This window comes from Homo sapiens, chromosome X (assembly GCF_000001405.40).
Source record: "Homo sapiens chromosome X, GRCh38.p14 Primary Assembly".
In the NCBI taxonomy this organism is placed as follows: Eukaryota; Metazoa; Chordata; class Mammalia; order Primates; family Hominidae; genus Homo; species Homo sapiens.
Window position 1 is genome coordinate 147,550,266 of NC_000023.11, and position 23,118 is coordinate 147,573,383.

The 23,118-nt window shown below is 35.5% G+C and overlaps 1 annotated feature.

The window, feature by feature from the left end:
• Positions 14,052–15,251: an enhancer, noted in NCBI's record as "P300/CBP strongly-dependent group 1 enhancer chrX:146645835-146647034 (GRCh37/hg19 assembly coordinates)". NCBI's record gives its function as "activates an origin of replication core promoter dependent on BRD2, BRD4, P300/CBP, MED14 and CDK7 cofactors, with strong dependence on P300/CBP, by STARR-seq in HCT116 cells {active_cell/tissue: HCT116}" and the evidence as "EXISTENCE:reporter gene assay evidence [ECO:0000049][PMID:35650434]".

Below are 23,118 nucleotides of genomic sequence, written 5' to 3' on the forward strand. Positions count from 1 at the left end.
TCAAAAATTTTAGAGTGTTTCTTGGGTCTCTTACTGAGATTTACTTCAGGACAGTTCAGCCTATTTCAATCACATAAGTTTATAAAGGTAAAAACCATCTTACTCCTATGGGGCTTTGGCAGGGGGAAATGGTATTTCGCTCTGAGTGAAGGATGGGGCGCCATCTGCAGGGCTAGTTTGAAACTAAGCATTTGCCTGGATTAAAAACAAGCAACAAGCCCTAAACACAGTGGTTTTCAAACTTAAGCAGTGGAGCCTGTTTCAAATCTATCATTACATGGAACTTTGCTATATAAACCAGATAAAAGCAGTAGTTATTATAACTTGTTTATTTTGTAGAAGCAAAGTTTTAAGTATTTATTGATCACATTACACATGAAGGTGTTGTGGTTTACGTAATTCAAAATCAAGGTTTTAAATAACCTCTCATGTTTCCTCAATAACCAATTCATTTCTCTATATTGTTGTGATTTCATAGTATGAAGACAAGTCCTAATTCATACAAATAAGTATTTACAAATTATAATTGTTTTTAATAGTGTACCTTTTTCAGTCTATTTTTTTAATTATATTCCAAAAGCTACCATTTATGTATAGAAACATTGATAGAGGTTAAAAGAAAGGGCAAAGATTCATCAAGTAAATTCAAGTAGATTTAAAGTAGTCTTGACAATACGAAATTCATACAAAGAGAATTCAAAGCAAAAGGCATTAAACTGGGAAAGGAGAGTCATATTTCATTGATTAAAAGAAAAAATCACAAAAACTAATATTAAACTGTTAGAAATACAAGGAAAACACATTTCTTAGCATTATATCACAGCATTATTCATAGTATTATTCATAATGGTAAACTGAAAATAACCAAAGCTACATAAATACATAGTTCTAAATAAAACACTGGAAAATGATAAGCAAAATATATCAGAATATTATCAATGATAATGCAGGAAGTAATATGATCAGATTTACATTTGATAAAAATGAAAGATTCCACTCACAGTAGCCTAAATTAAAACATGGCGTCTATATAAAGAGAATATTAAATTTTGCTGGCAGCATACAGGATTTGAATAAATGGAAAGATATGCCATATTCTTAGGAGGGAAGAATTAATAGAGCAAAAATGTCCATTCTTCCCTTAATTATTCATAAGTTGAACAGAATCATAGGCTAAACCCTCAATAAAATTGAACTAAAGTTTTTACAAAAGGTTAAAATTCAGAAGAATATTGGAGAGTAATTTAAGAAAATTTTGGAAAGAGGAATGCTGAGTCCAGAACTGCCCTCCCAAAAGAGAGTATATTTTGACAGGTATTTGTTAAAGTACTAGCAGACCAGTACAACAGAAGGTAGAACCCTAAAATGAACTCTATGAGTTTAGGATTTCCAGATTTGGCAACCAAATTTAACCATACATGGTGGAGAAAATAGCAGAAACTTCACCAACCCCAAGACCAACTTAAATAAACAAACGTGGGCAAATATTTGCCACAAATACATCACATCAAGTCACTGTTAATGACCTTACTATTGTTTTTCAAACCATTAAGGGCAAACACTACCCAAAGAGAAATAATAAAGGATACAAATCAAAATTTCACCAAAAATGAAATGTCAACGGCCAATAAATATATAACACTGTGTGGCGGGCGCAGTGGCTCACACCTGTAATCCCAGCACTTTGGGAGGCCGAAGCGGGCGGATCACAAGGTCATCCTGGCTAACATGATGAAACTCTATCTCTACTAAAAAGAAAAATACAAAAAATTAGCCGGGCATGGTGGCAGGCGCCTGTAGTCCCAGCTACTCGGGAGGCTGAGGCAGAAGAATGGCGTGAACCCGGGAGGCGGAGCTTGCAGTGAGCTGAGATAGTGCCACTGCACTCCAGCCTGGGCAACAGACTGAGACTCTGTCTCAAAAAAAAAAAAAAAAATATATATATATATATATATATATATATATACACACACACACACACACACACACACACACACACACATATACACACACACATATATATATGAGAAAAACACTGTGTTCAACCTTACAAATTATCAACAAAACACCTTTGTCTATACTTTTTTTTTCTTTTTGTACAAATGGATTTGGTTATAAATCAGGATTTCTTATTTTCTTTTATTTTATTATTATTATACTTTAAGTTTTAGGGTACATGTGCACAATGTGCAGGTTAGTTACATATGTATACATGTGCCATGCTGGTGTGCTGCACCCATTAACTCGTCATTTAGCATTAGGTATATCTCCTAATGCTACTTTTTTTTAAAAAAAGTATTTTCCTATTGTTATTTGCAAGAGGAATCTCTCTTATTTTTTAGCTCCCTGCTTGAATGTCACCTCTTCAGAGAGGACTTCCCTGGCTGTCTTATTGAAGTAGCCACACACACCTCTAACAGGCACACTTGTTCTTCATGATTGCAATGCAGTGTCCTTCATAGCACATACCTTAAGAATACCTACATTTGTTTGTTGTCTCTCTGCTCCACTAGTCTACAACTTCCACAAAAGTAAAGAATATGATTCATTTACCAATACCATATACATCCAGTTCGTAGCATGGTGTCTGGCACAAGGCAGGCACTCAATTTTTGTCAAATGAATGAATAAATGAATGTAGTTTTCTTCTATTCTATTTTGTTTTGGTTTCATTTTTATGAAAATACCTGGTGTTAGCCAAGACTGTCTAAAGTCCTATCATATACTGCTAGCGGGGGATAAAAAACAGTGCAGGTATATTGGAAGTCAATTTTTCCATATTTTAATATATAAGTCAGATCTTATCTCTCCTCTGCTCAAAACTTTCCAAAGACCTACCCACAGAGTCAAAGCTAACGTTCAGAAAGGCCTACGGATTCTACACGGTCTGTCATCCTCTAACCCTGCTCAATCACCACTGTTCTGGCCATACAGCCTATTGTTCTCCCCAACTCACTCCACTCCAGCCACACTGACTTCCTTTTGATTCCCCAAATATCCCATACATGTGCCTGGCTCATATATATTTGCAATTACTTATGCCTGGGATGCTCCTCTCTGGATGTATAAATGGCTCCCTTCATCCCCTCCTTTATGTTTTCCTTCAAATATCACCTTAGTAGGGAGAGCTTCTCTGACCACCTTACATAAATAGTTGCTCCTAATCTCATTACTCTGCATTATTTTCCTCCATAATACACATCACCATCTGACGTGTCATATATATATTTTTTAATTGTCCATTTTTCCTCACAAAACTGTCAGCTTCATGGGTACAGGACAGGGATTATTTGTTTTGTTCACTACTACATATCTAACCCCTACAAGGGAGCCTGGCATATAGTAGATTCTCAATAAATGTGTGCTGACTGAAGGAATACATGTGAAGATGGTCATACCATTTCACCTAGTAACTGTATTTCTAGGAATCTATGCTAAGTAAATAGAAGGTCTATCTGTATAATTTCCTAGGTTTTCCTTCATAACATTACTTATATGAGTAATGAATTAGAAACAATCTCCATGTCTTACTATTATAAGGGAGTTAAACTGTTATACAAAAATGTATATGGAATATTATCCAATCATTTAAAATTATGTCATTATAGAATTATATTAATGACATGGGGGAAATGTTCACGATAGAATATTAAATTGATAAACCATAAAAAAGTTATGGCATTTTTCTGCACTTTAACATTTTCTATAAAGATAAGATTTTAAAAGAAAACAATGTTATTAAGAGAAAAAAAATCAATGACGTTCTTGTAGGGTAACCTAGTTGCAAACAAAATGACTTCTGACTCCATCTGTAGGATAAAATAGCAACAAAATGCAGCAGTGGAACTGAACAAGTAGACACGAAACTTTTAAAAAATTGAGGACGTAAATTATTTCATTGGTCCAAGTGAATGTTAAGTAGTTCCTACTGAAACATACGTAACAGGGTCATTTGTTTTTATGACCTGGTTCATTTTAACAAAATCTGCTGTTGGCTTATAGATAGATAGTACTTGTCTTGGATATTTTTATGTCAGGGCAAAAAGCAAGCATCCAATTTATCTAAAAAGATAATAAATCCACAAAATTTAGATTACTTACAAATAACTGTGGTGTAAGGTACACATGGGAGACATGAAACAGTTAAATACTGGGCCCAACAGTTATGTGGATGTTATATTTGCTTCGGGGATATTTGCCCCAATAGCCAGGAAGCACCCAGAGAAAAAGAGTAATGAGTAAACATGTTCCAGAAAGCCTCCTTGCCTAGAACCAGGAAGTTCTGACCAGAAAACTTTACCTAGAACAAGACCAGTAGACATCCTACCACATTCACAGAAGGCATTCCAGAGCATAAGGGAGTTAACACAGCAGGCAAGCATTGCATGGATGTGTGTGCTTGCAATTAAGAATAAAACGCGGCAAGAAGAGAGTACTAGAAATGCAATCACCAAACTCTGCGAAATGAAGGCAGGAGACTTGTATACTTTAAGGACAGAACTTCAAACAGAGAGACTGAGAATGTATCAACATTGATACTAACCTGTCTGGCTGGACCTGGGTAGGATGCAGACATAGATGCTATGGGTCAGAGACAAGGCCATAAAGGAATAGAATCCAGGTCAGGATGCTGACGGGGGCACTTCCAGACATAAAGATCACAACTCAAGTTGCTCATAATGCCTTAAACACAAGTTGGCTCTTAATAACAATAGTAACAATGACTACAACTTGCTTAGCATATATGACATGGCAAGAATTATGCTAGGTGTTTCTTATACTTATCAGTCCTTTTCTTTAACTGTTATTTTAAGTTTGGAGTACAAGTGCAGATTTGTTACATAGGTAAACTTGTGTCATGGGGGTTTGTTGTACAGATTATTTCATCACCCAGGTAATAACCTTAGTACCCATTACTTATTTTTCCTGATTTTCTCCTCTCCTCTCACCCTCCATTCTCCTAAAGGCCCCAGTATATACTTTTCCCCACTATGTGTCCTTTTCAGTAGAATCATTTTATTTGAAGTAAACTCCTTAAGATGGAGGTGGGAGTGCCTGGAATCCACATTGTTCTGTTTGTGAAAGATGTACTACCCTCCTCAGAGTTAGATTAATTCCCATTAGAGGTATATTCTTTTAGTTACTTCTAAACCTTTTACCTTACATTGCAGGATATATACTATCCTGAAGTAAAATCATTATCCTCTGCTCTTATGCTAGAATTGGATGCACCTGCGGCTTCATCAGTCTCTGTCCTGGGCCCTCTCGGGGTTAGTCAGGTAACAAAGGCACATAAACTCAGTGCCCAAACAGGGCCAGCCCTGCCTAAGTGAGGCTCTCCACATTTATTCCTCTCTAAGGCCCCCACTACACATGATTTCTCCTCCAATTAACCATTACTAGATCCTCAAAACTTCTCCTCACTGGACAAGGGATTGAACAGCCTCCTTTGAATGTGCTCAGATTTGGCTATATTCCCCCAATATGTTGCTCCAGAATTTGTACACATGGGGCTATTGGGGGGAGATCTAGTTGAAATGAAAGGCTCCAATCAGAGATACCGTATTTGCATAACACTTTATGGAAGACTGAGAAAATATCATGTCACCAAAACACAAATTACAGGGAAAATATGGGTAAAGGGGGATGCGGACAGTGATGAATATTTTAGGAGGAAAAAATAAATGGTAACACATGGCCACCACTGGACCTGGTTGCAGACAGGACTGAAGGCAGAGATCCAATCTGCACAGAAGATATTAGTATTACCACTTCTTCTGTTTTAGATTGCATACTTCTGTTATTGCCGCTAAGATTAACTTTTATTAAATTTATGATCAATTAAAATTCTCAAAGTCTATCCCTCTTGTCAAGTTTGTTTGTGAAGCCAGAGGCATGGCAGACATTTCCCCTTTATGATTTTGTTTGAATTGGCCATTCTTTCAAGCTGTCAAAATCTTTTTGTATCCCAATGCATTAGCTATCTCTAAAACATTAGCAGTCTCTTCCAGTCTCATACCATTTGCAAATTTGCACTACAGAATCATTTGCTTGAAAAACATATATGCACATGTGCAGTGAAAGCTAAATAAATGTGGTTAGTTTTCAAATTCTAGCATTCCATTTAGCTTTCTTGAATCCATAATAAGGCAACCGTTGTCTTAATGACTCAATAAATCACTGCATGCAATTTGGAGCAAACGTATGAACTTTAATGTAAAAGGTACTAGAGGTTAATCATTGAAGTCTGAAATTGAAACATAGACTCTGTATAACTTGACACTGAGAAAATCATGGTTTCCAACACCCTTGGAAATAAAAATAACCTCTAGCTCGAGAAAAGGTAAGAGGAAGGTGAAAGGTTACAAATGTGAGCAACATTAAGTGATGCTTTCACATTCAAACCCAACTCACACAAAATGTCACCCAATACAGTGAGCAGTACAGGAAGAAGAATCCCTCTCCTTCTGTAAGAGCATCTACCAGATTTGTGTGCTCGGGGCAACTTTCTTTATATTCTCATCAGAGAGTATCCATGAGTTAGCATTATCTACCTCCTGGTACAATGGCCTTTTCTGTGGTGTAAATATCTTTACTCATGGAAATAAACATACCAAGCAAGTTAGGAAATTTGTTAGTAGACACCTGAAATTACAAGTTCTGAGGACAAAACAAAATCCTGGAGTCTCAGTGTTCCAGTGGATTCTGGACCCACACTTGACCTGCTTATTCAATACAAAGTAAGACCTGGGATCTGATAAACAGGGATTTTACTCTCATCTTGAGGACTTTATGAAGAGCCAGTGGGCCTAGATTTTAGTACTGCCACTAGCTAGTTCTTTTCCCTTGAGAAAGTTGGAATTCTGTACAATGACAGAATTCCATTGTCATTGTCTATACAATGACAATGACATATTGGATGATACGAATGACTACCAAACTTTAAAAGAAAAACAGTTAAAATTTCAAAAATGCAAATGGAATCTTATGACAACTCACTTAATAGATGAGATTAAAAGCATATAAACAGGTGCTCTGGGTGAAATAATGTGGTAGCCCACATACCTGCCAATTTAGCTCCAGAAGCTCCCCTGAGAGACTTCTAAAACTTCTAAAACTTCTATAAGCACATTTTAAAACCATTAACAAGGCCCCTTCAATTCTGGCTTATGATAGAAGGAACCTAAGCCATGATCAGTTCCAACATTCTATGGATGTATGAAGCAGAGCTTGGAGACTATAAAAGATTAAAAATATTAGTTATAATCATAGTGACTACCATTTATCGAGATACCATTCCACTTGACTTTACTGCTAAGGAGACTGATGATCACAAAAGTCAAGTGGCAAAGTCAGGTTTTAAACATAAGCCTGATATGTTTTTCATAATACACTAGAGTGTGATATGTGCTAAAGTAGCTCTAGCTACCAAATATAGTATGGTCACAAGAAAGGATGGGGTAAGTTCCACTTGAGGAAGTAAGAGAAGCATCACCTTTATCTGACTTTCAAAAAGTCAACAGCAATTAAAACAAACCTGGGAAAGGAATTAGGGGCCCTGAGCACAACTTCTGCAATGTCAAGGAGGTGTGGAACATCATGCAGCAGGGGAAATTAGTTGGAGACAAGACTGCACACATAGACAAACAAGAGTCTGATTGTGAAGACATCCATCAGCATCCCATAATAAGGAATTTAGACTTTTTTCTTTGGGGTTGACACCACTGCAATGTTTAAAACAGTAGTATGAGATCATTCCTCTTCCAGGAGCACTCCAACTTTTTTCCTTTCTCTTTCTTGAGGGATCAGCTGAAATATCATTGACTCTGAAAAGTCATTACTTACCCTTCTTTTTCCCTTTTTGAGATGGAGTATTGCTCTTGTCGCCAGGCTGGAGTGCAACGGCATGATCTCGGCTCACTGCAACCTCCGCCTCCTGGGTTCAAGCAATTCTCCTGCCTCAGCCTCCCGAGTAGCTGAGATTACAGGCGCCCGTCAACACGCCTACTAATTTTTGTATTTTTAGTAGAGACGGGGTTTCGCCATGTTGGTCAGGCTGGTCTTGAACTCCTGACCTCATGATCCGCCTGCCTTGGCCTCACTAATTGCTGGGATTACAGGTGTGAGCCATCACCGCACCTGGCCTACTTACCCTTTTTCTAAAACCTAAGATCCATGAGAGGTGAGGCCTCATCATTCTGGATCACCGTTGTATCCCCAGCACCTAGAAGAGTCCCTAACACAAAGTAAGGGCTCAATAAATATTTGTTGCACGAATGAAGAACTCAAAGTCTGATTGCAAAGCTTGGACTCACAATCACTGTGCCTGCTTTGTTTGTGACCCCACCTTGAAATGAATAGAGGATACTGTGTTGGAAATGGCAAGGTATCCAAAAAACAAAGCAAGTATGAAAACTTCTTATAGTCTAGTAAGTTTTGTAACGACTTTAAAATGCTGATACTTATCTAGGTCTACCTATCTCACTAGGGGGGACCTTTATATCCTGAGGAAATTTGCCCTATTGTCTTCATCTTCCAGAATTTGTGATGATTTGAATGACTTTCTTTGATGCATTAAAGTCATAACCACATCCTTTTAAAGATAAAATTCATTCCATCTTTCCAACAAAACAAAGTAGAATGAATCTAACTGTCTGGAAGGAGGCTTATTATCTCTGGAAAGTTACTTTGCCTGTGTTTCCTAACTTTTAAGAGAAATCGTAATAGTTCCTCTCTCATAGAGTGGTAGTGAAGATCGAACCAAATAGTACACTTATTACACTTAGCATAGTGCTTGGCACACAGAAAATCCTCAGTCAGCATCATCTTTTGTCATCATTATTGTTACTGGTGGCATTACAAGGCATTTATGAGAAATTGCAATGCATCCTTGTGAGGGGAGCTAGATTTCCCTTTCATAAACCCAACCCTCCTTTTATGGCAGGTTCTAAGGCCTGACCACAAAGGCTACAGATTTGGTGTCTGTACTTCCCAGACAATACCCTCAAGCCTCTCTTTCATTTGTCTTTTCCCCTAATAGACCATTCACCACTAATTACTTACAATCATTTTCTGCTGCACAGTTTTATATGTGCTTATTATGTTCACAGCTGTCTTGCCCAGCAAGAATAGAAATCTTTTATCTCATTATCGTACCTGAGTCTCCTGATTACAATTCCCTTGCCTTCCAAACTAATTTCCTCCAAGAGGCTCTTTTGACAAGGTAGGATTTTCCTTCCCCCTCATCCCTTCTTTTCTTTTCTCCACAAACCCTGTAGTGAAAGAGAGACCTTGAATAGATAAAGAACACAGAAACTTTATCATATAAGTTAAACTAGTTAAACTATGAGATGTGGTTATGGTATAAAATATGGTCAAATGTTGATTTGCCTTGTGGAGGATCCACTCTGAAAAATGAGTTTATTTATTTGGAAATATTTAGCACATTCTCTGTTCAAGTTTCTGGGTATTTGGCTGTGAACCAAACATACCAAATCCTTCCCTTTCATGAAACTGATATACTCGTAGGGGACAGAAAACAAATATGGATATTTCATCAGATACTGATCTGTTTTTAGACAAATAAAACAGGATAAGTGGATAGAAAGTATCAGGACACTGCTTGAAAAATTTGGTCACAGCTTTCTAAGGAGGTTCTATTTGACAGTCAGAAGCTCTTACACAACTTCAAAGATTTGGTGCCTCCCAAATCCCCAAGACCCTTGGGGAAAGGCAAAGGGCTATAAACAGACCAGGGGATCATGGGGAAAGGGAAAAGGGAGGAAATTCCCAAATGCTCAGGCAAGATTGACTCTGCATGGAAGATGGAGGAGGATATTTGTACTTTGCTGGACATCACGAAAGAGTACCTCAACTAACAGGTGAACTAGTTGAGCTAGTGAAATTTCTGTTAGCATTTCAAACTTCCAGATCTGTAGAGTCAGGTATGTTAAACTTAGAGTTAGATTGAAGAAAAGCACTGTGGAAAATAGAAAATGACTGTCCCATTTTCTATTTCAATGACTGTTCCATTGTCCTGGAAGAAAATGACTTCTTCCAGGTTCCAGTGGGACAGGCCTCCACTTGTTGAGTGGATGAGCAGTTTCAGATGGTGTACTAGTCAGGGTTCTCTAGAGGGACAGAACTAATAGGATAGATGTATCTATAAAGAGGTGTTTATTAAGGAGTATTGACTCACATGAGCACAAGGTAAAGTCCCACAAGAGGTTGTCTGCAAGCTGAGGAGCAAGGACGTCAGTCTGAGTCCCAAAGCTGAAGAACTTGGAGTCCGATGTCCGAGGGAAGGAAGCATCCAGCACAGGAGAAAGATGTAGGCTGGGAGGCTCAGCCAGTCTAATCTTTTTCATGTTCTTCTCCCTGCTTTTATTCTGGCTGCACTGGCAGCTGATTAGATTGTGCCCACCCAGACTTAGGGTGGATCTGCCTTTCCCAGTTCACTATCTCAAATGTTAATCTCTTTTGACAACACCCTTACAGACACACCCAGGAACAATACTTTGCATTCTTCAATCCAATCAAGTTGACACTCAATATTAACCATCACAGGTGGTGACTATCAAGCAGCCACCTCAGAAAGACGAAAAAGATAGAAGGAACATTTGGAAGAAAAGGAAAAGAGTAAACCAAACCTTCTGATTGTTCCTGTAGGCCAGAGAAAACTGCCTCTCTGAAGATCAAGGAAATAAGGGCGGCAACCACAAACATTTGGGTTACCACAGCATTCTGTTACGTTTACTAATAAAATGTATTCTTTTCCAAGAGGTGTTTAAGTTCTTTACAGTTTACAAAGTATTTAACTGTTTAAAGCTACTTTCATATACATTATTTTGTTTGATCTTCTTCCAGACAGACAAAGCAGGCATTGTTATCCAATTTGTTATACGAGGAAGTTCAGTCTAAGTGACTTGCCTGAAGTCCTCCCAGTGAGTGGAGGATTAGAACCCAGGACTTTCTGCCTCCATAACCAACTGTTTGCTAAGCTCCTATCTTAAGCCATAAGCCCAGAATTTTATGAACACCAAGATACTTAAATCATCAAGAACTATGTTTGCATAAATGATTTCTAAGAAATTGAGTATAAATAAACATTTTTTAATATAGTCCCTTTGAATTTAAAGTTAACAGAAACCCACAGAGAAAAAAAGACTCCATTCAAATCTCACACCCTATGCAAAATTAACTCAAAATGGATCATAGACCTAACATAAAATGCAAAACTATAAAACTTCTATTAATAGAAGACATAAGAAAAAATCTTCAGAACCTTGAGCTACATGAAAAGTTCTTAAATATGCCACCAAAGTATGATCCATAAAAGGAAAAAACAGATAAATCAGACTTCATCAAAATTAAAAACATTTTATCTGAAAAGAACCCTATTAAGTGGATGAAAATACAAGCTATAGACGGGGGAAAAAGTTTACCAACCGCGTATCTTAATATATGTATAAGTGTATATATATGTGTATATATATGTATTATACATAAGTGTATATACTTATATATGTATATATAAGTGATATAATATATTGTATATACATATATCATATATACTTATACATATTAAATTATATATAATAAAGTACATTTTATATATATACATTACATATACTAGGGTATATATATACTTATATATATGTAAGGATCCTTATATTCTTATATATATAAGGATCTTTGCATATACACATGTATTCTCATATACTTATAAGGATCCTTACATATATACTTATATATATATATATACACACACACACATATATAAGGATCCTTATATATAAGTATACATTATATACATTACATACTTATATATACATTATATACTTATATATTTAATTAATATAATGAATCCTTATATACTTATATATATGTAAGGATCCTTACATGTATACTTATATATATACTTACATATATATACACACACACACATATATATATAAGTATACATGTAAGGATCCTTACATGTATACTTATATATTTAATGTATATAATGAATCCTTATATACTTATATATATATCCTTATATACTTATATGTATACTTACATATCCTTATATACTTATATATGTACTTATCCATATATACTTATATATTTAATGTATATAATGAATCCTTATATACTTATATATATGTAAGGATCCTTACCTATATACTTATATTATGTAAGGATCCTTACATGTATACTTATATAGATACTTACATATCTATAAGTATATAGGTAAGGATCCCTACATATATGTAAGTATATAGGTAAGGATCCTTACCTATATACTTACATATTTGATGTATATAATGAATCCTTACATACTTATATATATATCCTTATATACTTATATATATACTTATATATCCTTATATCCTTATATACTTATATATATACTTATATATCCTTATATCCTTATATATCCTTATATATATGTACTTATACATATATACTTATAAATTTAATGTATATAATGAATCCTTATATACTTATATGTATGTAAGGATCCTTATATATATACTTATATATTTAATGTATATAATGAATCCTTATATACTTATATATATGTAAGGATCCTTACATATATACTTATATATATGTAAGGATCCTTACATATATACTTATATATATGTAAGTATATATATAAGTATACATATATAAGGATCCTTACATGTATACTTATATATATGTAAGTATATATATAAGTATACATGTAAGGATCCTTACATATATATAAGTATATAAGGATTCATTATATACATTAAATATATAAGTATATATGTAAGGATCCTTACATATATATAAATATATAAGGATTCATTATATTAATTAAATATATAAGTATATAATGTATATATAAGTATGTAATGTATATAATGTATACTTATATATAAGGATCCTTATATATGTGTGTGTGTATATATATATATAAGTATATATGTAAGGATCCTTATAAGTATAGAAATACATTATGTATATACTTACATATATATATAAGTATATATGTAAGTAAGTATATATAAGGATCCTTACATATATATAAGTATATAAGGATATAAGTATCCTGGTATAAATGTATAAGTATCTTAGTATATATAAAGAACTCTGAAAACTCAACAGAAAATGAATTCCATGTAGAAAATGGCTAAAGGCTGGAACAGACATTTCACTGAAGGGGATATACAGATGGCAAATATGCACATGAAGAGATATTCAAAATTGTTAGGGAAATTAAATCAAAACCAAAATGAGATATTACTGTACACCTTTAGAATGCCTAAATTTTTTTAAAAAGTGACAACACCAAATGCTGGCCGTATTGTGAGGAAACTAGATCACTTATACATGGCTGGTGGATATAAAACAGTACAGCCACTCTGGAAATGAGTTTAGCAGTCCTCTTACACAACTAAAGATGTGCTTACGGTATGACCTAGTAATTACAGTCTTGGTCACTTACCCTGAGAAATGAAATCTCCTGCTTACATAAAAATAAGTACAAAAAAGTGTTTAGCAGATTTATTTGTAACGGACAGAAACTGGAAACGAAGCCCAGATGTCCCTTAGCAAGTGAATGGTTAAAACAAAATGTGGTACATCCATACCACGGAATACTGCTGAGCCATAAAAGTAGAACAAATTATTGACACACTTACCAATGTGGATGGGCCTCATATATATGCTGAGTGCAAATAGCCAATTTCAAAGGGGTAAATAATACATAATTCTATTTACACACTATTCTTTAAATGACAAAAGTATAGAGATGGAAAGATATCAGTGGTTTCCAAGAGTTAGTGATGTGGGAGAGTAGTGTGGACGTGAAAATAAATAGTAAACTAAACAAGGGAAATCTTTGTGTTAATGGAACAGTTCTGTATCTTGATTGCAGCGATTATATGAATCTATACATAAAACTGCATAAAACTACACACACACACACACACACACACATACACACGAATTCATATAAAACTGACGAAATGTGCAGACAAATGTTCTGCCCCTGAGCTATACCCCCATAACTGGTGAAACCCAAATAAGCTATTTGGACTATACCAATGTCATTGTCTTGGTTTTGATATTGTACTATAGTTATATAAGATGTTAACATTGACAGAGGCTGCATGAAAGGTAATGGGGCTTCGATGTACTATTTTTGCAATTTCCTGAAAATCTAAAACCATTTCAAAATTAAACTTTAAAAAATAAGTTAATGAGATCTTTGCATAGTACTGAACAGAATTATTTTCACAAGAAAACATTCTAGAGAACAAAAACAGTATACCACAGCATGGCGTGGTAGAAAAAAATGACTAGACCAAGAATTAGAATACCTTGAACCACTATTTAACCTCTGTGATTTCCACAGTTTTGTCTTTGTAGTTCAGCTTCTTTCCTTCTTCCAATTAGAAACTCTGCTCCCCTGACCTATCTGGGAGCAGAGATAGGTGTCTATCTGACCTTGGCCAGGCCAATCACAATGCTACGTCTCCTTTAGATGCAGGTTTTGATCCAAGATATGGCGCATAATCCAAACCAGGCCACTCAGAATCTGCTATCCTGAGTTGGTATTAAACGGGACAGGGAGAGGCTTTCTCTTCTCCCCTGAATTTCAAAAAAGCAAGAACGTGACCACTGTGACTTCCAGCGACCATGTCCCCAGCTGAGTGAAGAAATCTGAAAGACATAAGTCAACATGCAGATAGGTCTTGCAATAGGACCTGGGGACAGAACAAGCAAAGCATCAAGGAGTAAAATAGTCCAATTGCCATGGAAGGCCCTGGATCCACTAGATCCTGAGGCATACAGCTCTGCCCATCCTTCCCAGATACCTAGGCCAATACATTTAATTACAGCAGATGTAAGTGTATGTTAGATATGCAACTAAAAGTTTTCTGAACCGTGTGATCTCTTAGAGTCTCAATTTTGTCATCTATAAAGTGGGAATATTTGACATACTTGCCTCAAAATTTTGCAGTTATCAAAGGAGACAGCACACGTGAATGTTCTTTACAGCAGTATACAAATGTAAGTGATTAGTATCCATTATTATAAAAAAGGAAACTATCAAAAACATCCAGCTCATTTTTAATGAGTGCATTCCAGCAATTTCAAAAGCAACACTGAGAGTAAGAAACAAACACTAAATGCTACCATAAATAGAAAAGAAACAGATTATTATGATTCATGTTCAATGAGTCATTAATGACTCAGAAAAAAAGCAAGCAGAAAGCAACATTCAAATATATACAAAAATCTTCTCTAGAGTTTAAAAATTGAATAAATCTTTAAAATGTAGAAATTTGCTGAGAAAAAGGTCCTGTGTCACAGTCCTTTAAATTGTGATATACTTCCACTTTGATCAGAAACATCTTGTTTATTGTATGTTGCCGCTTTACACATGGCACATAATGACCAAAGTCTCTAACTCTTACATGAACTAAATACCTCAGTATGTTGCCTGTTTCTTTGTTTTCATCTTAAATGGGTCAAATTTCAATTGAGTTCAAGATGGCTTCATTTTCCTAAATTACAAAAATCCCGACCAGATTCCTTATTGATATTAATTAAATGTGATTTAAAGCTAGACATCTACTTGTAATCAGTAAGTCCACAAGACAGTTCAAACTGGGAGGGCTTTGCCCAGCATTGGCAGCCTAAAACCCTGTGAAAGATGCAGTAGGTGGGTAAATCTACCCTCAGCACTCAAGAGTCAAACTGGACCCCAGGAGCTAAATGCAGCATAGATAAGTAGGTGGTTACTCGTCTAAATATGCAAGGCAACATTTGTACTGGATGAGAGTGAGAAATCAAGGACACCAAAGCCCAGAAAGGAAAACAAAGAAAGAAATGGGTATCAGCCACCCTGTGAGCCTGTGAAGTGTCTAGCATCATATAATCTTTATCACCCACAGTAAGATAAGTAGTAGTTGAAAGTGTGAGTGGAAAAGGAACCAATGAAAGGGTGGTTTCTTCACAATGATAACTCTTGGTAGATTTACTCTTAGCAAGTGGTTTATTTATTTTCCAGCAATTGTCACTCGTAACAAGTCAATTCTTAGTTCTCAAGCTATACTTTCAACACTTCCTGGAATGGAAAGGAATGGCCATACATTTCCTTTACTATCAAGCCTTCACGCTCAGCCAAAGCAAATCCCATCTTGCATTGGAGGGCCTCAGTAATGGCAATAATGCTGACCACCATTTATTGCATTCTCATTCTCTCTCAAGGCAGAATAGAATGGTGGTTAAACACACAGACTTACACTGAAGAGTAATCTACCTTGATTCTAATCCCAAGTCTACCATATACTCATTCTGAAACCCATCAGTATGCCACTTCCCTCTGTGCCCATCTACTTGCTGTGGTGTGCCAGAGACTACCTGCTCTGCCTTCCAATTCAGAATTGCTATCACATAGGTGGTTCTGTGGGTTTCTGTTCTCTAAGACAAGACAGAGAACAGAGCAGGCTCTTCCCTGTTACATAGCTGCTTTTTATCCCTGAAAGTAAATCCACATATCTTTTGTTTTTGAGAGGTATACTTTTACTGTACCCTCTGGAATGACAAAAAGCATCAGAGTTCACAAGAACCATCACAAAAGGGACTCACAATTAAGAGACAGTAGAAACACTCTTCTGACATGAGACATCTGAGAGAAATATGGTTACAGAACAAAATTAAAATGATGCAAACTTTGACAATGTAAACATAATGTCATTGGGGCTATTTTAGAGGCTGCCTACCAGAAACAGAATTTAAATAATAAGAATTCCAATTATTTGTTGCCTTGTTGTTTTTTTAATAACATTTTTCTTATCCTACAATAGATGTTGCAGGACCTAATATTTAATTTGGAGAAGCAATGTTTGAAGTTTAAAGATTACTTCATTTATACTGTTTCTTTTTTGCTTCTATTAAATTAAGTAGAACTGAATTTAATGCCTATTATGAAAAATAGCCATTAGGGTATGATAGCAATTTGTAAAATTATCTCTCTATCTAGCTATATAAATGCCTAAGATCAATATATGTCATTATAGTTATTAATGTCAAAATGAACTAGATAATTGTTTTTGTCAGTAATGAAAGGCCAAGGACACCCGCAGAAAATGCACAAGAAAGGAAAATCTTCACTAAAGAGACATTTCGACCCCCAAATTTTTAGTCACTAATGCTTCAGAACAGACCCCTTAGCCACTGCCCTTATTTTACAGATTAAGATCATGATATAAAGTAAAACTCATTTCCTTCATTGGCTAAAATAAAGAGGAATTAATTGGTGCTTCCAATAAAACCATCAAATCAAGGATCGAGGATTTTATATTTAGATTCTTTTTTAAAATTTTGGATTCAGTGGATACATGTATAGCTTTGTTACATGGGTATATTACATAATGCTGAGGTTTGGGGTGCAGATGGTCCCATCACCCAGGTAGTGATCATAGTACCCAATAGGTAGTTTTCAGCCCATGTTCTCCTCCCTCCCTCCCCCCTCTAGTAGTCCCCAGTATCTACTGTTCCTATCTTCATGTCTATGTGTATTCAGTATTTATCTCCCCATTGTAATTGAGAATATGAGGTATTTGGTTTTATGTTTCTGCATTAATTTGCCTAGGTTAATGGTCTCCAGCTATATCCATGTTGCCACAAAGAACATGATGTCATTCTTTTTAAAGGTTGCATATTATCCCATGTACCACATTTTCTTGATCCAGTCTACCATTGATGGGCACTTGGGTTGATTCTATGTCTTTGCTATTATGAATATTGCTGCAGTGAGCATACAAGTGCATGTGTCTTTATGATGGAATAATTTATTTTCCTTTGGATATATAGCCAGTAATGAGATTGCTGGGTCAAATGGTAGTTCTGTTTTAAGTTCTTTGAGAAATCTCCAAACTGCTTTCCACAGTGGCTGAAGTAATTTGCATTCCAACGAACAGTGTATACATGTTCTCTCTTCTCTGCAGCACCTGTTATTTATTTATTTATTTATTTATTTATTTATTTATTTATTTATTTATTTTTGAGACAGAGTCTCACCCTGTCACCCAGACTGGAGTGCAGTGGCGCAATCTTGGCTTACTGCAACCTCTGCCTCCTGGGTTCAAGCAGTTCTTCCTGCCTCAGCCTCCCGAGTAGCTGGGATTACAGGTGCCCACCACCATGCCCAGCTAATTTTTGTATTTTTAGTAGAGACAGGGTTCTACCATGTTGGCCAGGCTGGTCTCAAACTCCTGACCTCAGGTGATCTGCCCAACTTGGCCTCCCAAAGTGCTAGGATTACAGGCGTGAGCCACCATGCCCGGCCAGCATCTGTTATTTTTTGGCCTTTCTAATAATCATCATTCTGACTAGTGTGATATGACACATCACTTTGTTTTTGATTGGCATTTCTCTGATGATTACTGATGTTAAGCATTTTTTCATGCTTGTCGGCCACTTGTATGTCTTCTTTTGATAAGTGTCCATTCATGTCCTTTGCCCATTTTTAAATTGGATTATTTGGTTTTTGCTTGTTAATTTAAGTTCCTTGTAGATTTGGGATTCAGCATTTTAGAGAGGAAAAAGCACTAGACTATGAATGGGAGATACCTGAGTGCTAGTTCTAGTCCTACCACTAAATTGCTATGTGGTCTTGACAAAGTCTAGTTCCCCCTGTAAAGAATGGCTCAAGATGATCTAGGAAAAGAAAACGGCACTACAATCAAGAGATTTTGAAAATCCTGAATACTGTATTCCTCTTTTGGGGTTTCCCAATGAACATTATTGTATTAAGGATTCAAGTACTCCTGAAGTAAAGAAGTATGTTTAAAAGTATTTAATCTAAAGATTCTCAGTTTATAAAGCATTTTATGTCATATAACCTTTCTTTAATATCACTATAACCCTATGAAGAAAGAACTGTGACTTTACAGATGAGAAAATTTTTACTTAATAGTAACCTAAGATCACATTAAGAAGATCAGAGTCAGATTGTGTTTTCATTTTAGAAAAATGTATAATTTACATTTGAGTTCTAATTCTACCAGCGTAAACATACAGTAACCACGCTTCAAAATATGTAACTGGAGAATAGAACGTTGCTGTTTACTAATATCAAAATGACCACACTCTGCAAAACAGGGCAGTAAATGACTCCTTCACATGAAGCCAAAGTAAGAGATCAAATTGCACTTTGAGCAAATGCTTTATTTTTCATTCTTCCAATAAATCCTTCCACTGCTCAGTCACTTCCAGAAGCAATTATATTTTAAATCATGTAATTTTCAACTAAATGTATTATTCAAAAAGTGATAACATTTTTCATCTGTTGCTTCATGAATTCTGTTATTTTTTTGTTGCAAATAAAGGTACAAGAATTAAAGTTTGAAACTGCCCATAGGCCTAATACGGATAACTTATCAAATAATTACAAAATGCAAGCACAAAGGGAACCTTACTAGGCTATGAGCAAAGAAAATGTATGCAGTATTTTAATAGAGAGGAAACATTTTTGGTTTAACATCCAATTATTAAAGAAAAACAAGTAATGATAACACCACCAATACAAGAGTAACCATTTACTGAATATTTATGATTTTCTTAGGCACTGACCTGAGTGCTTTACATATTTCATTTTATCCTCACAACCACCTACAGTTTAGGCACTATTAGTAGTCTTACGTAACAATGAAAAAAAAAACAGCTAATGTTCAGAGTAACAAAGTGTCACACAGCAAGCAAGTGGTGTAGTCAGAACAGGACCAAACATTCTTCTCTTAATTTCTACAATATATGCTATTCATAATCTGCTTTTCTATGTGTACCTTATTTAAAACATAAATCTAATGTATAAAAAAGAAAAGAGATATAACATGAGGCAATTTAATAGCACCTTAGTGAAAAAACTAGCTGAAAATCCAAAATGGCCTGTGACTTTGCGTTTGCATGAACAACACCTCAGTACACAGTGATGCATTCTGATATTAGGTTAATTCATACCATCTTAAACTGAAACCTCAAAGGATCCTTGGTAGTCACCTAGTCTTATCTCCCATCAGATATTTTCAATAGCCTTCTTTTTTTTTTTTCCAATAGCCTTCTTAATGCCATATAGCCTTAACTTGCCTGCCCCTTCCTGACATGAAATTAATTTGCTCACAAGACAGAACATTTTACTTTTGAACATCTTGAGATGTATTACACTGTAAATCATTATTTGAGGCCAAATTGTTCTGCTTTTAAATTGTACTCAGGATCTGCCTCTTCTGGCCCTTACTAACTTGCTCCCTGCCACTCTGGGGCTGAGTAGAGGGGTAAGAGGACTGTGCACCCCACAAATTAGCCCATGGAGGAGACAGAAAGCTTCACCAACTAAACTACTCAGCAGCGTTGGCCACATATAGCTCTTACCTATAAGTGCCATCTATTGGTTTGTAGGTCAAATTGCACAGCCCAATATAAAACATGCTGACAGAAGTACAGAAGGCTATAGAAGAAAAGCCAAAAGACCCCACTCAGCAGTTCCTATAGTTGTACCCCTTAGGGAGTAGAGGAAGAAAAAAGAGAAGAAAAAAAGCAACATTGGAAGAAAAGAGAGACAAAGAAAAAAATCCTACCTACAAAAAATAATTACAAAACTTAGAAGTGCCAGCATCTCCAGATAAGAAGGGACCAGTGCAAGAATTTGGCACTATGAAAAATCTTAATAGAGTGGCACAACCAAAGAATCACACTAGCTCTCCACCAATGGTCCCTAACAAAAATGGAAACTCAGGAAATGACAGATAAAAATTCAAAGCAGGGATTGCAAGGAAGCTCAATGAGATCCAAGGCAAGGTTGAATATCAACACAAAAAAACTTCTAAAGCAATCCAGAAAAATGAAGGAAGAGATAAACGTCTTAAAAACAAATCAATTAGAGCTTCTATAATTGAAAAAGCTCGCTTAAGGAATTTCAAAATGCAATCAAAAGCTTTATCAAAAGACTAGATCAAGTAGAAGAAATAATTTCAGAGCTGAAAGTCTTTCAAACTAACCCAGTCACACAAAAATAAAGAACTTTTTAAAAATGAACAAAGTCTGGGAGAAATATGAGACTATCTGAAGCAACCAAACCTATGAATTGTTGGCATTCCTGAGAAACCTTGAGAACATATTTAATAAAAATAATTCAAGAAAATTTCCCTAATCTCACTAAAGAAGTAGACATCCAGATACAAGAAATCCAGTGAACACCTGTGCAATACAATACAAAACAAATGTCACCAAAGCATATAGTCACCAGACTATCTAAGGTCAATTCTAAAGAAAAAAATCTCAAAGACAGCTAGAGAAATAGGCGAGATCACATACAGAAGGAACAGCTATCAGATGTTCTATCATCTACCAGAACTATCAGACTAACAGCTGAATTCACAGCAGAAATCTTACGAGCCAGGATATATTGAGGGCCTATTATCAGCATTCTAAAAGACAAGAAATTCCAACCAAGAATTTCATATCCTACCAAACTAGGCTTCATAAGAGAAAGAAAAATAAATCTTTTCTAGACAAACAAACCCTAAGGAAATTTATTTCCACTAGAACAACCTTACAAGAGATCTTTAATGAAGTTCTAAATATGGAAATGAAAGAACTGTATCTGCTACCACCAAAACACACTTAAGTACATAGCACACAGACCCTATAAAGCAACCACATAAAAGAAATTACAAAGCAATCAGCTAACAACTACACACTAGGATCAAAACCTCACACATCCATATTAACTATGAATGTAACTGCTCTAAACACCCCACTTAAAAGGCACAGAGGGAAAGTTGGATATAAAAGCAGGACGCGCCCAAGTGCTGTCAAAAAAAAAAAAAAAAAAAAAAAAAAAAAAGACCCATCTACATGTAATGATACCCACAGGCTCAAAGTGAAGGGTTGGAGAAACATCTATCATGCAAATGTAACACAAAAAAATAGTAGGCATCACTGTTGTTATATCATAAAAAATAGACTTGAAACCAACAATAGTACAAAAGGACAAAGAAGGGTATTACATAATGATAAAGGGTTAAATTCAACAGGAAAACTTAACTATCCTAAATATATACACACCAAATATTAGAGCACTGAAATACATAAAACAAGTACTTCTAGACCTACAAAAAGAATTAGCCACACAATAATAGTGGGGGACTTCAATACCCAATTGATACAGTTACATCATCAAGGCAGAAAACTCTCAAAGAAACTCAACTTAAATTCAACACTTGACCAATTGGACCTAATAGAAACCTATAGAATACTCCACTCATCAACCAAAAAATATGCATTCTTCTCATCTGCATATGGAACACACTGAAAGATCAAGCACATGCTCAGCCATAAAGCAAATCTAAATAAATTTGAAAAAAAAATAGTACCAACCATACTTTTGGACCACAGTGGAATAACAACGCAAATCAATAGCAGGAAGGTCTCTCAAAGCCATGCAGTCACATGGAAGTTAAACAGTTTGCTCCCGAATGACTTTTGGGGAAAGAACAAAATTAAGAAATAAAAAAATTGAAATAATCAAAAATGGAAACACAACATAACAAAATATTTGGAATGCAGCAAAAGTAGTGTTAAGCAAAAAGTGTATACCACTAAATGCCTACCTTAAAAAGTTAGAAAGATATCAAATTAATGATCAAATATCACACCTAGAGGAACTAGAAAAACAAGAACAAATTAAACCCAATGATAGCAGAATGAAAAAAAAGTAACCACAATTAGAGACAGACTGAAAGAAATTGAGACCCAGAAATCCATACGCAGAATCAACAAAGCCAAAAATGGGTACTTTGCGAGGGTAAACAAGCTTCATAGTCTGATAGTGAGATTAACACAGAAAATAGAGAGGAAGGGCGGAAGAAGATGGCAGGGCAGAAGTCTCCACTGATTATCCCCCAAACCCCACAAGAACAACAATTTAATAGCTATCTACACACACAAAAAAAGCACCTTTGTAAGAACCAAATATCAGATGAGCACTCACCGTACCTGGTTTGAATTCCATATCTTTAAGAGAAGAACAGAAAAAAAAACAGAAAAAATCAGTCTTAAATCACTGATGCCACCCTTCCCCAATCCCCT